General features: G+C 48.7%; 1 protein-coding gene across 12 annotated transcripts in view, besides 1 other annotated feature; it reads left to right on the top strand.

The window, feature by feature from the left end:
* Positions 1-16,516, top strand: part of NFATC2 (nuclear factor of activated T cells 2) — a 175,877-nt gene that overhangs the window by 117,421 nt on the left and 41,940 nt on the right. For 11 of the 12 annotated variants that reach the window (NM_001258295.2, NM_001258294.2, NM_001258292.2 and 8 more), the window contains exons 7-9: positions 9,658-9,713; positions 10,105-10,231; positions 12,663-13,352. In NM_001258295.2, the coding sequence (NP_001245224.1) occupies positions 9,658-9,713; positions 10,105-10,231; positions 12,663-13,352 (873 nt within the window). The remainder of the gene's footprint in view (positions 1-9,657; positions 9,714-10,104; positions 10,232-12,662; positions 13,353-16,516) is intronic. The other variant, XM_017027851.2, reaches the window with a different exon arrangement.
* Positions 9,453-10,652: an enhancer, noted in NCBI's record as "MED14-independent group 3 enhancer chr20:50051304-50052503 (GRCh37/hg19 assembly coordinates)". NCBI's record gives its function as "activates an origin of replication core promoter dependent on BRD2, BRD4, P300/CBP and CDK7 cofactors, and independent of MED14, by STARR-seq in HCT116 cells {active_cell/tissue: HCT116}" and the evidence as "EXISTENCE:reporter gene assay evidence [ECO:0000049][PMID:35650434]".

The raw sequence follows: 16,516 nt of genomic DNA, 5'->3' as shown, positions 1-16,516 counted from the left end.
CAGGGAGCTCTTGCTGGAGGAGATGGCTTTCAGCAGACCCCTGAAGGTGGGAAAGAGAGAGCCACAAGGACTGCTGGGAGAGTGTCCCAGGCAAAAGGAGCTGCCCAGTGCCAAGGCCCCAGCGTGGAGATGAGCTTAGGGCATTTGAGGAATGGGAAGCAGGCCCGGGCGGCTGGTGCGTCGTGAGAGTGAGAGCCCAGCCTGGAGAGGTGCTGCGGGGGGCAGGCCCAGCTGGGCCCTGCAGTCATGGCAAGGAGTTTGGATTGAATTCCCAAAGCAACAGGTAGTTGTTGGAGGTTTTTGAGCAGGGGAGTGGCATGGTCTGGTTGATGTTTGAGTGCTCTGGCCACCTGTATGAACAGTGGACTTGGTGGGGGGCAGCACTCGGAGAAACTGGGAGGTGAGTGAGCAGCTGGACCAGTTGTCCCGGTGGGGGATGGTTGGGGCAAGCCCACCAAGGAAGTAGTGGGGCAGGAGACTCGGGAATCAAGGGACTTCCTTTCTAGATCTCAGTAAATCCATTTGAGCAGTGTTACCCTGTCGGGCGGCTGAAATCCTAAGCTGGGGGGGCCATTCCTGAATCTCCCCCACCCCACCCCTGTCTGCTGGGCTCATTAAGCCCATGCTTCCAGGGAGGACACGTTTTTCTGCTAGTTAGCAGTCATAAAGAGCAGACTGAAATGACTTCAACCATTTTTATTTGGCTAATTTTTAAAAGCACGGCCAGGACTGGGAAGCATCATGTGCGGTTTCCTAACACGAGCTGACACTTTGATTTCCTCCCCATTCGCCTCGAGCCCAGTGGCATGCTCACAGCCCGGGTGAGGATGGATTTGCCTTCCTCCTCCCAAAAGCTTGCTCATTTCTCCCAGAGTGCTGACATGAGCCCGCAGCTCCTCCAGGCTGACTGCTAAGACTCCAGCCCCAACCCACGGCCAACCCTACTGCTTCCTGGCTGCTTTGTTCCATCACAGGGTTAAATAATTGCCTGCAAAGAGAAACCAGGAAACCAACGAAAGTATAGGGGCCATACATCAGCAAACGGGCTGGTTAGCGATGCCCATTCTTCTTGCATCTAGTAGGGGTTTTCTTCTGGAGTTGACTCTGCAGTGAAGATAAAGCAGAGGCTATAATGTCAGGTGGGCGTGGTGGCTCATGCCTGTAATCCCAGCACTTTGGGAGGCCAAGGCGGGCGGATCACCTGAGGTCAGGAGTTCAAGACCAGCCTGGCCAACATGGTGAAACTCCATCTCTACTTGAAATGCAAAAATTAGCCGGCCGTGGTGGCATGTGCCTGTAATCCCAGCTACTTGGGAGGCTGAGGCAGGAGAATCTCTTGAACCTGGGAAGTGGAGGTTGCAGTGAGCTGAGATCGCGCCATGGACTCCTGCCTGGGCAATGAAGTGAGACCCTGTTTCAAAAACAAACAAACACAAAACAAAGGCTATGATGTTACTTTAGCCATCCCCCCACCCTATTTTTTTTGTTTTTTTTTTTAACTTGCAGAGTTGTGCTAAGTCTTCTCTAGACCTAACCCTTTTGCCCAAAGTGGTTGGCTCCTTTCTCTTCCCCTCTGACTAAGACTTGGAAGGGCTGTTTTCACACCGGCTGCCAGTCCTTGTTAATTTTGGATGGGGTAATTTTGCCTGAACATCTGCTCAAGAGACCGAAGTCCTTTATTTCATCTCAGCCCAGAGCGGTAGAAGCATACTTGGTCTTCTCAGTCCTGTTCCACGGGGGTAGGTCTGCCCAGAGTCCCAGACCCAAGGTGTGGGTTGGGAGGTGGATTATACGGAACTTCTGGTCAATGGCACTGGGAATGCTGTCTGGGCTGTGTTGCTCTGATTGTGTTTGATTCCTTGTCTGCACCCATATTCCCAGCTCCTTCCTCATCAGCTGATTCCCACAAAGGATCCCGTAATAAGGGCTTGGTGATTCCTCCTTGCAGGGTCCTGCGGCTGGAGAGGTCAGTGGTCAGATGTTTCCTGGACCCTGGCTGTAGGGTGCACACTGGAGGATCCTGAGGTCAATTTGTTTGTTTATTCAGCCAGTATTAATTGAGCAACTGTTATGTGCCAGATGCTGTAGAGCTAAGGATAAAGCAGAGAATGAGATAGCTATAGCCCTGCTCTGGGGTAACTCACAGCCTGAGGCTGGGTGGAGATAGCAAACCAATAGGTAGCTAAAATGATTTCAGGCTGGAAGGGAGGAGTAGAAAGTTATAAGGGGATGGTGTAGGATGAAGGGGGGGTCTCCCTGAGCTGCACCTGAAGGATGGGAAGGGGATGGTCACAGAAGAGCTGAAGAAAAGCATCTTGAGAGGTGGCAACAGCAAGTTCCAAGGCCTGGAGATAGGCAGGTGTGGCTGTTGGAGGGAGAGAGAAGGCCAGTGTGTCTAATGGAATCAGGGGAGGAAAGCTGGGTAGAGAGGCTGGGTCCCCACCTCAGTAGACATAAGCAACCCTGAGTCCATGTCTCTCTTGAGCCTGGGTGGAATGTTCGGCCCTGCCTCCCTGTTTGGGGGCCCCGGAGGGCTGGAAGGCATACATGGTCCATCTCTCGGCCTGGGGTACAGCTGTGCCGGAGCTGAGTCAGAGCTGATGGTCCATGCCCAGCCTCCCTCTCAGGCTGTGGCCCCGGAGGGCTCCCAAGAGACAGGAAAGTCAACAGGCAGTTGCAATGTGCCTTTTTCTTAAGAAAAAAAAAAAAAACAAACTTTATTTAAAAATAATAAAAATATAAACAAATTAAAGTCACTGTGATGTTACATGTTTCTTGAATCAGTGAAGAAAGGCATGAAGGTCTCACCTCACGCATTCAGGCCCAGCCCTGGAGGTACAACCATATGAGTAGCTTGGGGCACAGGCTTTCTAAGTTTAAGCAGACTTAAGAATAGACTTACAAAGCGGCATCATGCGGTACATACTGGTCTGCAGCATTTTTTTAAAATCTGCTTTTTATTTTATTTTATTTTACTTTATTTTTTTGAGGCAGAGGCTCACTTTGTCGCCCAGGCTGGACTGCAGTGGTGCGATCTCAGCTTACTGCAACCTCTACCTCCCGGATTCAAGTGATTCTCATGCCTCAGCCTCCTGAGTAGCTGGAATTACAGGCACGTGCCACCACACCCAGCTAATTTTTGTATTTTTAGTAGAGACGGGATTTCAGCATGTTGACCAGGCTGGTCTCAAACTCCTGACCTCAAGTGATCCACCCACCTCGGCTTCCCAAAGTGCTGGGATTACAGGCGTGAGCCACCGTGCCCAGCAAAATCTGCTTTTTAATATAACAGGGTCATGTTTTCAGGTTAGAAAACACAAATCTACCTAAGGGCTGCCCAGTGCTCTTCTACTGATTTTCCATACTAATTACAGGTGGCCCATAATTAATTCAACCAGTCCCCTACCAATAAATACTTTTTATGACCATTTTATTTATTTGCAATGAGGAATTCAATGCAATGAAATGAAGCAAAAAACTTCAATACCCACCAAAGCACTTGGGTCAGGATGGCCCTTCAATTCTTTTTTACTGGAATCAGAACAATGCAAGACTCCAAATTCTAAAATCATAGTAATGACAGCAGCATTAACTATGCGCTGGGAATTTTACTAAGCATTTCACATACACTGTCTATTTTAATTCTCGCCACATCTTCTTAAGTTCAGTAATATTAACTTTATCTTTTTTTTTTTTTTTTTGAGATGGAGTTTTGCTCTTGTTGTCCAGGCTGGAGTGCAATGGTGTGATCTCGGCTCACTGCAACCTCCGCCTCCCCGGTTCAAGCGATTCTCCTGCCTCAGCCTCCCAAGTAGCTAGGATTACAGGCGCCCACTACCACGCCCAGCTAATTTTTTGTATTTTTAGTAGAGACAGGGTTTCACCATGTTGGTCAGGTGGGTCTCGAACTCCTGACCTCAGGTGGTCCACCTACCTTGGCCTCCCAAAGTGCTGGGATTACAGTCATGAGCCACCGAACCTGGCCAAACTTTATCATTTTTGCTTATGAGGAAACTGAGGCACAGAGAGCTGCCACTCGAAGGCCACACAGTGAGTAAACTTTGGGGACAGAACTTGAACCTGGGCAGAGTGACATCAGGCTGAGAAAACTCCATCAGCATTTATTTTTTATTTTTGAGATGAAGTCTTGCTCTGTCACCCAGGCTGGAGTGCAGTGGTGCGATCTCGGCTCACTGCAACCTCCACCTCCCAGGTTCAAGTGATTCTCCTGCCTCAGCCTCCCGAGTAGCTGGGATTGCAAGTGCCCGCCACCATGCCTCGCTAATTTTTGTATTTGTAGTAGAGATCGGGTTTCGCCACGTTGGCCAGGCTGGTCTTGAACTCCTGACCTCAAGTGATCCACTCGCCTCGGCCTCCCAAAGTGCTGGGATTACAGGTGTGAACCACAACACCTGGCCCCATCAGCATTTGTTTTGAATTCTACTGCCCCATGGGAGTGCAATTCAGAGGTTGGGATTATTGGGTTCTCCAGGCGAAAGCCCAGGACTTGTGCACCCGTGGATGCGGGGTGGAGTGGGGAGGAGGAGCCTGGGAAAATGACCCCAAGGTACCTTGCAAACCGCACACTTCCCTTAGAGACCAGCCTCCTGGAGTGTGTCTTGCACGTGCTGCATAAAATCAAGAAAGACAACGGATGTGGGCTTTCACTTCCTGTTGGGGACTTGTTTGTCCAGAACCGAGTGCAGACCTTCCATGAGAAAGTACAGGTCAGGCCAGATTCCTTGGCTGCCCTTGGAGCTTCTGGTACCAAAAGGGTGCAAAAGAAAGAAGATGGACCCTTGGCTCATAGTTTAAGTTTTGATTTCTTATTCCTCTGAGGTCTTTTTCTCTGTGTGTGTTTTTAAAGTTAATGGTGAAAAGACCCACTTTGGAAAGCAAAGGAAAATCAGGCACCATGCTGCAGTCTCCCATAACAGACTTCGTCGCTTCATAAATTCCCTCCAGCCCAAACCTGTAGGCAGAAGTATTGCAATCATAAAATGCACTTGGAAAATGTTTATTATTTTCTGATTTTAAAATGCTTGTGTTTTTCTCAGTATTGACACATTGTGGAATATATGCAACAAATGATAAAGAAGACAGTGTTGAAATAATCTGTTGCCACTAGCCATAATCGTAACAGGTATCTTCTGTTGAACATTTTTTTTTTTTTTTTTTTTTTGAGATGGAGTTTTGCTCTTGTTGCCCAGGCTGGAGTGCAATGGCATGCTCTCAGCTCACTGCAACCTCCATCTCTGGGTTCAAGAGATCCTCCTGCCTCAGCTCCCCAAGTAGCTGGGATTACAGGTGCATGCCACCATGCTGACTAATTTTTTGTATTTTTAGTAGAGACGGGGTTTTACCATGTTGGCCTGGCTAGTCCCAAACTCTTGACCTCAGGTGATCCGCCCGCCTTGGCCTCCCAAAGTGCTGGGATCACAGGCGTGAGCCACTTTGCCCGGCCCTGAACATTTATATAATACCCTGCTCAGGTCTGTTACCATATTTAATCTTCAGAACGACCCCATAAGGTGTGGGTACTATGATTATCTCCATATGTTGGATAAGAGGCAGGGAGAGAGATCGTGCCATATCTAAGGTCTCACAAATCATTGGGGGTAGTCAAGGATTTGAAGCTGGGTGTGTCTGCTCCGAAATTTGGGGTACGTGGGAGTAAAATGGCAGAGCACTGGGGTGACAGAAGTTGGTTGTGGCCGCAGGACATGGCCAGGAAGGCTCAGGGTTCCAGTCAGCGTGTTGTGGAAGGCCTGGCAGAGAACACTGGAGAGGGCAGGACTTTCCCCCTGCCCCCCATGGGCGTCTTTCCCTGTGACCCACACTTACCAGGCTCTGGGGAGGCTGTGGGATGTGGCGGCTCACCGCCTCACTTTGGGGCGTCCCGAGGAAGGGCTGGTTGCTGTGGCTGGAACTCAGAGGAGAGGAACTAGATGGAGGAGCTGCAAGGCACAGGGATCTGAAACTGCATAAGGAGTGCTGACTCTGAGGCCAGGCTGCCTGGGTTCCAATCCGGCTTCCCCACAGGGTCTGGCTGTGTGACCTTGGCCTGTGCTCTTGCCTCTCTGTGCCTGGTGTCCTCCCCTGTAGGATGGGGTGAGGAGACCTGCCTCCTATGGGTGCTGTACAGATGAGACAAGCCCATGTATACGAGGTGCTTAGAGTGATGCCAGGCATGTAGTGAGCGCTCATAAGACTCAGGGGTAAGAATAGTGCCTGGAGAGGCAGGAATGAGGGTAGGAGCCAGGTTGTGCAGGGCCTTGAGGGCCACAGTGAAGCTTCCACGGTATCTTGAGGGCACAGCAAAGCAGGGAAGGGCTTGAAATCTGCATCTGCATGAATCTTTGTGGTGAGTGACCCTACAAGGGTCCCACCCACATGAGATCTTTCTCCAGCCTCCCAGGAACCTTCTAGCCTCACAATGATCTGGTAAGTTTCTCTCGTGTAACAACCTTGACCTGTCTTTGAAGCCATCTCCTTTGTTATTAGATTATGTCAGTTGTTGCTTAAAGGCTGTGATTTAATAACTACTGTGGGTCTTTGCACAGCCGCCTTGCTTCTCTGGGCCTCAGTTGCCTTGTCTGCCAGTGCAGGGCTGGCTAGTTTCTAAGGGTACTCTCAAGAACCTGTGTGCTGGAATTCTATGGCTGTCAGTGGGTAGAGTTTTGTCTGCCATGCACACCCACCAGAGGTGGGAAAAGGTCTCCTTCTTCGTGTTGCGTCCCTTGACCCGGAGAGGACAGTCCATGAGAACTCTCCTCTTGGTGATGCCCTTTTTGTTGGACCGCCATTTTGTATTTTCTGTTTCATCTGCCACTTATTGGTGTGAGCCTGGAAGACAGCTGGGAATGGAAGCTTTATGGATCCTACTTAATACTTCCTGACCACATTTCCAGCTACTATTTTCTCCCTTTCTTCCCCATTATGAACTTCTGAAAATGATCTTTTTTTTTTTTTTTTCAAAGCAAGCTCATATAAGTGGAAAAAGAAATGATGCTGTTGGTAGCAGAATTCAAGAATTCAATTCAGGCAAGGAGAGGCTATGGGGGAGGGTGACAAACCAAACATCAACATGTTGCCATTTCCGCTGTTCATTTCTTACTCAGTCTTCAGGCTTCAAGCTCACTTTGCAGGTGTGGATGAGGACCCACTTTTTGATGAAGACCCTAGGTTGGCCTGTACAGTCACGCTCCTGGTGGTGACCTCTACCTGAAAAGGGGACATGTGTCTCTGTTGGGTGGTCTTTGACTTGTCTTTGACAAAGAAATGAGGATTGTCCCTGACTAGTTCTGTACAGGACTTTGCACACTGAAAGGACTCAGGTCTTGATGACTTCACTTCCAATTCCTCGATGTCCATCCAGCGATCTTCCCTTGCTTCCTTTTGAGCATCAGACATGCCTGCTCAGTTGTCTGAGAAAACAGGGGGCCGAAGTATTCTGCCCTCATCAAGGGGGCATGGGTGATGTTAGCCTTTGGCCTTTTCTTGGCCTCACCAGCAGCCTTTGGAGCTGCTGACACTTCTGTCTGTTCAGTCATGAGATGTTGATTAGGCATTTGTGCGTGTTGGGGAGATGGTGATAAATATGACTTGGTCCCTTCAGCAGGGACCAAGGGACACTAGAGTGAGAGTCAGTAAACAAACTGCCTGTTCTTTTCCCTTTTAACATAGCCCATGTCTTGCTGAGTCATTTCAGGAATTGCGCTGTAAGGTCAGGACTTACAGACTTAATTGTTACAAAGGGCTCTAGCGTGTTCATTGCGTGTTCCTTGTTAAGATCATCTAGAGAGCAATCACAATACTTTATATTAATTTTTCATGGGGGAGGTGGGTGGGAGTATGTTTAAGAACGCTTGAAGTCCAGATTTCGCTGGGTGAATCTTAAGAGCCAAGACTATATGGGTTCAAACCTAAGCAATCACAGAAGATGGGAATAGCTGTGCTTAAAAGTAGGGAGGGGTTCATTGGTCAAACCTTGGGAAGTGCTATGTACTCCAGCCCACCTCGCAGAGTTACTCTGCACAGCAGCATGTTAAAGCTTCTGAGAAGTCCTGCAGTGAAGAAAGCCATTTGACTTTGACTCAGCAGTTTCCAAATGCTCATTAGCATGTAGATTTTTCCCCCTTCTCATAAAACTATTTAATATCCTTCAGAACCAGTGTTCCACAAAACACCCTGGAAATACTTGTTGAAATTATTTGTTTCAGCTGAAAACTACCAATGACCAGTATAGGTGGTCAGCAAGAGAAATCAATTATTTGCAAATGCAGGGTTTTTTTTTTTTTTTTTTTGGCCCAACTTCTTGGCCCCAAACTGGGGGAGTAGTGTTCTGCTTCTGGACAGGAGAGTTTACTGAGCAAAACCTCTTCATCAGTAGTTATGAGTGACATGAGATCCAGGCTGTCTGCTGAGGAAAGGTGGAGGGTGAGCCCCTGTCTTTCTGCTCTTCAGTGACTTGTGAGCCAGGATACCACTGAAGTCACTGGCTTCCCTCATGACTTGGGGCCGCATCTTTAAGCCTGTGTTCTCAGACCACCAAGGAGGCGTGTCTGGGACAGTCAGGGACCTGTCATGGCGCTTCTCTAACAGCTTTGGCGTAGGATAAAGTGTAACATATAACAATGCTTTTTAAAATTATTTACTTATTTATTTACTTATTTATTTGTTTGTTTGTTTGTTTGTTTGTTTTGAGACAAAGTCTCACTCTGTCGCCCAGTCTGGAGTGCAGTGGTGTAATCTTGGTTTGCTGTAACGTCCGCCTCCTGGGTTCAGGCAATTCTCATGCCTCAGCCTCCCAAGTAGCTGGGATTACAGGCACCTGCAACCACACCTGGCTAATTTTTGTATTTTTATTTTTAGTAGAGACGGGGTTTCACCATGCTGGCCAGGCTGGTCTCGAACTCCTAGCCTCAAGTGATCCATCTGCCTTGGCCTCCCAAAGGGCTTGGATTACAGGCATAAGCCACCATGCCCAGCCCTTAATAATGCCTTTTTAAAAAAAAAAAAAAAATAGAAAGATAGACATTCAGATACAGGGAAAAAATGATGGGAGGATTCTGGACAGTTTCTATTTTTTTTCTTATTTTCTGTTGTTGCCCTGTTTTCTTTCTTCTGGCTGTCAACATTATTTTATTTTTTAATTTTTTAAAATATAACTTCAACTTTTAGATTTGGGAAGTACATGTGGTTTGTTACATGGGTATATTACATGACACTGAGGTTCGGGTATGAATGAGCCTGTCAGTCAGGCAGTGAGCATAGTACCCAATTGGTAGATCCCTGGTCCCTGTCTCCCACCTACATTAGTCCTCAGTATCTGCTGTTCCCATCTTCATGTCCGTGTATACCCCATGCTTAGCTCCCACTTATAAATGAGAACATGTGGCGTTGAGTTTTCTGTTCCTGCCTTAATTTGCTTAGGACAATGTTGCCTTGTTTTCTATTGACACCATGTCTCCTTTTGGAAAAAGGAAATATTTATATGTATAAATACATATGTACACACACGTGCACATATTGACACACACCTTACTGAAATGACATAATATACAAGCTAAGATAAACAGAAGTTGGTGAGTTTTTGTCTTAAATCTTTGGTTTCTAATAGTTCCTTCAAAGTCTGTCATTTTTGAATTTTTCTAGATGGACAGCAAATTTGGGAGATGGAAGCCACGGTGGATAAGGACAAGAGCCAGCCCGTAAGCACGTGACGCACCTGAGTGTCTCTCAATCCCCCTCACGTTTCCCTCTTTCATGCTCTTTCCTTCTTTCCCTCCTTCCTTCATCAGTGTCCCCCAGAGCTCTGGACCTAACAGGTACTCAATATGTGCATATTAATGAGTGAGTTCAACATTTATTGGGCACCACACTCTCTGATTTGCAACTGTGACACCTTATTATATTTTGATGGAGTATTATTTTTTGCTGCCGCTGACAAGTTAAATTCCCCTGAAATTGAACTTCCCCTGTAAACCGATGAAAGGCACATCAAAACACCCATTAGACAGTGGGCTGCCTGGATGCGCTTAGGGTCTGGGTAGGAACTGAGACATGATTGCAGTTAAGTTCATGACAACTCCTTCCTTATAGAACATGCTTTTTGTTGAGATCCCTGAATATCGGAACAAGCATATCCGCACACCTGTAAAAGTGAACTTCTACGTCATCAATGGGAAGAGAAAACGAAGTCAGCCTCAGCACTTTACCTACCACCCAGGTAAGGAGTGTTTCTGATGACCCCTTTGTTATTGAGAGGCAGTACAGGCACAGGGCTCAGGACTCCTGAAGTCTGCTCCTAGCCGGGTAACTTTGGACAGATGACTCAACCTCTCTGAGCCTCAGTTGCATCATCTGTGAGACAGCATCTTCCTTATAAGGGTTCCGGAAATTAAATGCACATAAATCCTTAGCACAGTGCAAAGTAAGCTGATGTCAGTGATATTAGCTCTTATTGCCTTAGTACCTTCCTTTAGGGGAAGGGGGAATAGAAGAAGGGTGTGTGTACGCATGTTCAGCAGAAGGGTGGTAAGTGGATGACTCCTGTCCCTGGCTTGGATTTGATCATGATAGAGGGGCTGTGCCCTAAAACCTGCAGAATCTTTATGTGACCCCCCCATGTGAGTCATCACCCCATGGCCTAATGGAGTGACTGGTGGATAACCGGGTCAGGAGGTCTCATTCCCACAAAGTACAGCCCCAAGAAAGGTGATGAGTACCATTTTTTCATGCATTCATTTGTCCAGAAAATATCTGAGTGTCAGGCACTGTTCTTGGCTTGTGGACACAGCTGTGAACACTACAGGGTAAGAATCCCTGTCCATGTGGAACTGCCATTCTAACAGAGGGGATTAGGTCATAGATAATGTTGATATTATTGATATGTTGGATTACGATTGGGGCTGTAGAAAAGGTGGACAGGAACAGCCAGGGGAAGCATAATTTTAAATTTTAAAAATGCTTCTCTGAGCTCTCCCTTGGGAAATAGGCTATAGGCTTCCCAGGCTGAGAAACGCCTGCTAGCTACCTTCCAAGATTGGAAACCTATAATTCGAGACAATCACCCAGGGTATAATTTGCATCCTATGACAGTTTCTCAGGGAGCCTCTGGGCTTCTAGAAGCATTATACTGAGGGGTGCCCTGGCAGCCTTGCCTTGGTGAGCTTGACTGCCCTGGCAGCCTTGCCTTGGTGAGCTTGACTGCCCTGGCAGCCTTGCCTTGGTGAGCTTGACTTGTGCCCACAGTTTTGTGTTGACCCTTGTGAGGACACTGCTGTCTTGGGACAGACATGACACTCTATCAGGGCAGGGTTCAGGTCACCAGGACCCAAAACTGTGGGAGATTGCTGGGGGGGCTCTAGACTGCAGCTCAGGAATCCCTTTGAGCAGACATGCTCTCAGATATGTTTCATGGTGCTCTTGCCTCTCATTTGTGGCCCGGCCTTGGCTCTTGTCTGGTTGAGTGTGGCTGGAGTGAGCTCTCAGTCTCCCAGTTGGGCCAGGGAGTGAGGTGATGGCCTTTGAATGGCACCTCGAGGGACAATTTCTGTGGTTAGAGACAGCCTTGCCTAGTCTCCTTATCTCCTCCAAACCCCAATACTTGGAGGTCCCCCACCACAACACACACACACACACACACACACACACATGCATGCATGAACACACACGCATGCGCACACACACATGCACACACACTTGGTCACAGTCCTGTCACTGACTCACTCCAGTAAAAAGAAAACTGATTCCTCAACTCCTGGGATTGGTAATGCTTTAGTATGGATGTTGGGGAAGGAGTGATTTCAGTGACTGGTGCTGGGCAGGGAGAAAGGAATGGCCACAGCGACAACACAAGTGGTAGTCATGATGGATGATCATAGTAAGAGAATAGCAGTGACAGCAAGCATTGAGCACTTACTGTATGCCAGCCACTGTACTCAGTGCTTTGCACACACATTTAATCCTCCCAGTGATCTCGTGGGGGTAGGTATGATTGTTCCTGCCAGGTAACAGATGGGGAAACTGAGGCTTGAGACAGTAGTGCTTATTCCCCCAAAGCACTACAGAATGGAGGAAGGAAACAGTCACTTTGCTGATTCCTTTGTCTAGAAAATATCTGAGTGCCCATTAAGTACCAGGTGCTGTTTTGGGTCATGAGGATCAAAAACCAGACAAAAGTCCTCTCTTTGAGGAGCTGACATTTGGAGGCAGGGCGTATTTAGGTAATAAATCAGCATGTAAAGCATCTATGACATTTCTGACGGGGATAAGCAGTAGAAAGGAAAGCAAGCGGAGACAGGAGCTGCTGGGATAGAAAGAGGGGGAGGCATCATCTGAAATCAAGCATTCTCCTCTGAGCTGTCACCTGGAGAGATAGGCTGTAAACATCCCAGGGCTGAGTCAGACCTACCAGCCACCTTTCCAATATTGGAAAAATCTATAATTCAAGATGTTCATGGCCAGGGTAAAATTTCCTACCTAAGACAATTGCATGGGGAGCCTTTTGCCCAAGGCTGATAAGTGACAGGGACCAGCTGTTTGTCCCACCCGTATGGACTCCCAAGGCCATGTTCTCAAGCACCATCCACGAATCCTCCGTGCACATCCGTGGCTCACTGCCATGGGCGCCCCTATGTGCTCTTTTCTCCTCCCAGTCCCAGCCATCAAGACGGAGCCCACGGATGAATATGACCCCACTCTGATCTGCAGCCCCACCCATGGAGGCCTGGGGAGCCAGCCTTACTACCCCCAGCACCCGATGGTGGCCGAGTCCCCCTCCTGCCTCGTGGCCACCATGGCTCCCTGCCAGCAGTTCCGCACGGGGCTCTCATCCCCTGACGCCCGCTACCAGCAACAGAACCCAGCGGCCGTACTCTACCAGCGGAGCAAGAGCCTGAGCCCCAGCCTGCTGGGCTATCAGCAGCCGGCCCTCATGGCCGCCCCGCTGTCCCTTGCGGACGCTCACCGCTCTGTGCTGGTGCACGCCGGCTCCCAGGGCCAGAGCTCAGCCCTGCTCCACCCCTCTCCGACCAACCAGCAGGCCTCGCCTGTGATCCACTACTCACCCACCAACCAGCAGCTGCGCTGCGGAAGCCACCAGGAGTTCCAGCACATCATGTACTGCGAGAATTTCGCACCAGGCACCACCAGACCTGGCCCGCCCCCGGTCAGTCAAGGTCAGAGGCTGAGCCCGGGTTCCTACCCCACAGTCATTCAGCAGCAGAATGCCACGAGCCAAAGAGCCGCCAAAAACGGACCCCCGGTCAGTGACCAAAAGGAAGTATTACCTGCGGGGGTGACCATTAAACAGGAGCAGAACTTGGACCAGACCTACTTGGATGATGGTAAGACGCTTGAGTTTTGTCACTGCCTGTAAGGATGGTGCCCTGAAGCATCTCTGCCCAGGAAGTTCACTGCATGGCCTACGGATTCCGTAATCTCTTTGGGCCTCAGTGTCCCCATTTTAATTTAAGGAGGTTGAATAATATGACCCTGAAAGCCACCCCTAGCTCTGTGCAAGAATTACCTCCCAGCAGTAGTTGCAGAGGGGAAGCAGTAACAATTTCAGATGCCCCCCTCCAGAATCGCCCCCATAGAAAAAGCAAATGAGGGCAACCCGGCATCCCCTGGGTCATGAACTGGGTCCATTTAACTGCTTCCACACTCTTTCCAATTGCCAGATTTAGACTGAGGCCAAGAAAATAGGAAGGAAAGCTAACCTCCTTTCATTCCTGTACAGAAAAAAAATCCCATTTTATAGCCCTCTTTTGTATATTTGAGGGAGGGAGAGGGAGGAAAAGGAAGAAGAAAGCTCATTGAAAAGTGGCTTTATCAGAACAGCTTGCAGGCAGGCTGCGGGCACTTCTCTACCCTGTGCTCGTGGAACAGAGATGCGCATTGATGGGAAGGAAGCAGTGGGCTTCCGCTGTGGTGAGCCCAGCTGATGGGTGGTTTGGGCCAAGGAAAAGATGCAGAGGAGGCTTTGTGTGAGTCTGTAGGTGCCCGTTTGTGGGCAAGGGGTCTGCCCAGAGGGTAGTCTTGTGGAGAAGCTGTGATGAGGTGTTGGTCCAGGATCTCAGGGAGGAAGGACAAACCGCATTGCTAAGACTCACCTGGGAGCCGCAAGGTGCATTGGGAGGTCGGAGAGGGTGGGATGAGCAGAGCAGCCTTGCCTTGGGGGCTCCAGACAGAAAAATAGGCTGTTGGACTTTCTTTACCTTCATTTTTCTTTTAAAATTTTTTGTGGATATAGAGCAGGTATATATATTTGTGGGGTACATGAGATGTTTGGAGACAGGCATGCAAAGTGAAATAAGCACATATAGAGAATGGGGTATCCATCCCCTCAAGCGTTTATCCATCGAGTTGCAAAGCCCATGACACTGTTTACATTATTTAAAAATGTACAGTTAAGCGACTGGAGTTTTTTCTTAATAGAAGAAGGAAAAACCTAAATTGCTGGCTGTCATTCCCAGTTCCAGTCCTGTATTTTATAGGCAGTAGCGTCTGATATACCCTGAAACCTCAATTATTTCAGAAAATTAACTCTCAGGAGCCCAGCCAAGGGGTAGGAAGTAAAGCGAAAGCTTTGAAACAGCCACAATAGTTACCATCAAGACTGGGTACTAAATTTCATATACCGCAGTGCCAGAAATATCCTCTGCTGCATAGTCAGAGGCTGTTGACCTTTACTCTACAAAACGTCTTGACAAGCCAGGTTATCTGGGGGCTCTGTGACTTCTGGTATTCTCCATACCCAATCCCTAGGGAGACAGTCGATCAAAAACGTCCCCTGAATTCACCAAGCAAAGACCTCTGGGGCCACTTCTTGTAGGGTCATCCTGCCCCACGTGCCTTACAAGGCTGACCTCTAGGTATTGCTCTGTTAATAATTGATCCGTTTGATCCTGAATAATCAAGCACAGGTTGAGTTAAAGTCATGGTGCTCTGTTTTGAAACGGACACCTGCATACAATCCATCCTTGAACAATTTACATTCACAATGGTGAAGATAAGGTTTTGGTGCTTATTTTCAAGGGGGCAATCGTGTAGAGAATTAACTAAGGCAGAACGTGGAGGATCAATGAAGCATGGTCGTAACCAGATCCCTCTCCACGTGAGGCCCTGGGGGATCGATTGTATTGGAGAAGAGGTGCTTTATAAATAAATGAGTGTCTGTGCAGGGCTGGATAATTTTCCCCAGCTGACTCTGCACCTAGGGCTGGTCTGGTCTCCAGAGCGAGAAACACACTGGCCTCTCCTACCCTGTCCATCCCTTGTTAAAGGCAAATGGTGAGTGCCTTGGATATTGGGGCACCCGTGTCCAAGTGGCCCGAGGTGGTCATGACTGGCTATGGCAGCCCCGGATCCACAGATGTCCTTGCCGTTTCCAAAGAAGCTTATGTTACAGAGAAAGCAGCTGAGCACCGAGACCCTTTTGGGCCTCCTGAGGCCCTTTCTCAACGCAGGCAGGTTCAAAGTCGTGGTGAGGGGGAGTCCCGCTAGGTCCAAACCTGAGTCAGCTCTAAGGATGTCTCAGAGAACCGAGCGAGGTGAAATTTAGGTACATGCTGTATGACCCCAGCCCATGGGATGTTAGGAGCTATTTTCTGAAGGAGGGTTCCATGGCTTTAAAAGATGAAAAAACTAGGTTAAACCAAGTTTTTTGTTTTTGCTTTTGTTTAATTATTTGTTGCAGGACTTCTGAGAGTCTTTATCCTGCTAGCGGACATTATAAGTCTCTAAAATGCGGGGGTGTAGCACAAAGGAGAGCGCATCGCACGCTCCAGGTGGTGATGTCCACACTGGATTGTACTGTGTTCTGCAAGAATGGAGGCCCGGGAGTCGTGCTACACAGCTGGCCTAGAAGCTCTTTTCCTGATACTTGGCAGAAATAACATAAAGGAAGCTCAAGAGCTCTGAAGCGCAGCACTGCCCTGTCCCCTGTGCCATAGTCCGGCTTCTCAATTTGGGGGCTGCACATTCCTGAGGCCAGAGCTGGATGGGGCAGTGGAATGGTTTCCACCCACGTGGCCTCCAAAAGGCAGCAAGTGCCACTAGTTATGTTCAGTGCTCCACCGGCCTTGTCTCCAAGGCTCTGCCCACCCCAGGACCCTCCAATGGGCAGGTCCCCTGGTGGCTCGTGCCCAGTGGCAAGCCCCAGACTGCATCTCCACCGTAGCCACCAAGATGTGGGTGCAGTTTTGTCTCTGAACTGCTGCAATTTCAAATTCTCCTAGCCCGTCTCCTAGCTAGTCTGTGTAGCCCGTGCATCCGTGGAACATTCCAGATATGCCACCATCAGCTCTAGGGATATGAGATTTGGACGTCTTGGTTTGCTGTGTTGTGTTATTTCTGACAAGTAAACTGGAAAATCCCCTGGGTCATTCCTTTGGTGTCTGGTGGGGCAACTTCCTTGGTCTTTAGGTCCTTTTCTGTCCCTTTCGTTTATGATTTCAAGGGAGTCTGTCGCACACGGCACATATTTGGCTGCACGGGGCCCGTGCTA

Source organism: Homo sapiens, chromosome 20 (genome assembly GCF_000001405.40).
Source record: "Homo sapiens chromosome 20, GRCh38.p14 Primary Assembly".
Taxonomy (NCBI): Eukaryota; Metazoa; Chordata; class Mammalia; order Primates; family Hominidae; genus Homo; species Homo sapiens.
The sequence above is the reverse complement of the archived record's forward strand: the minus strand, read 5'-3'. Positions and strand labels throughout refer to the sequence as shown.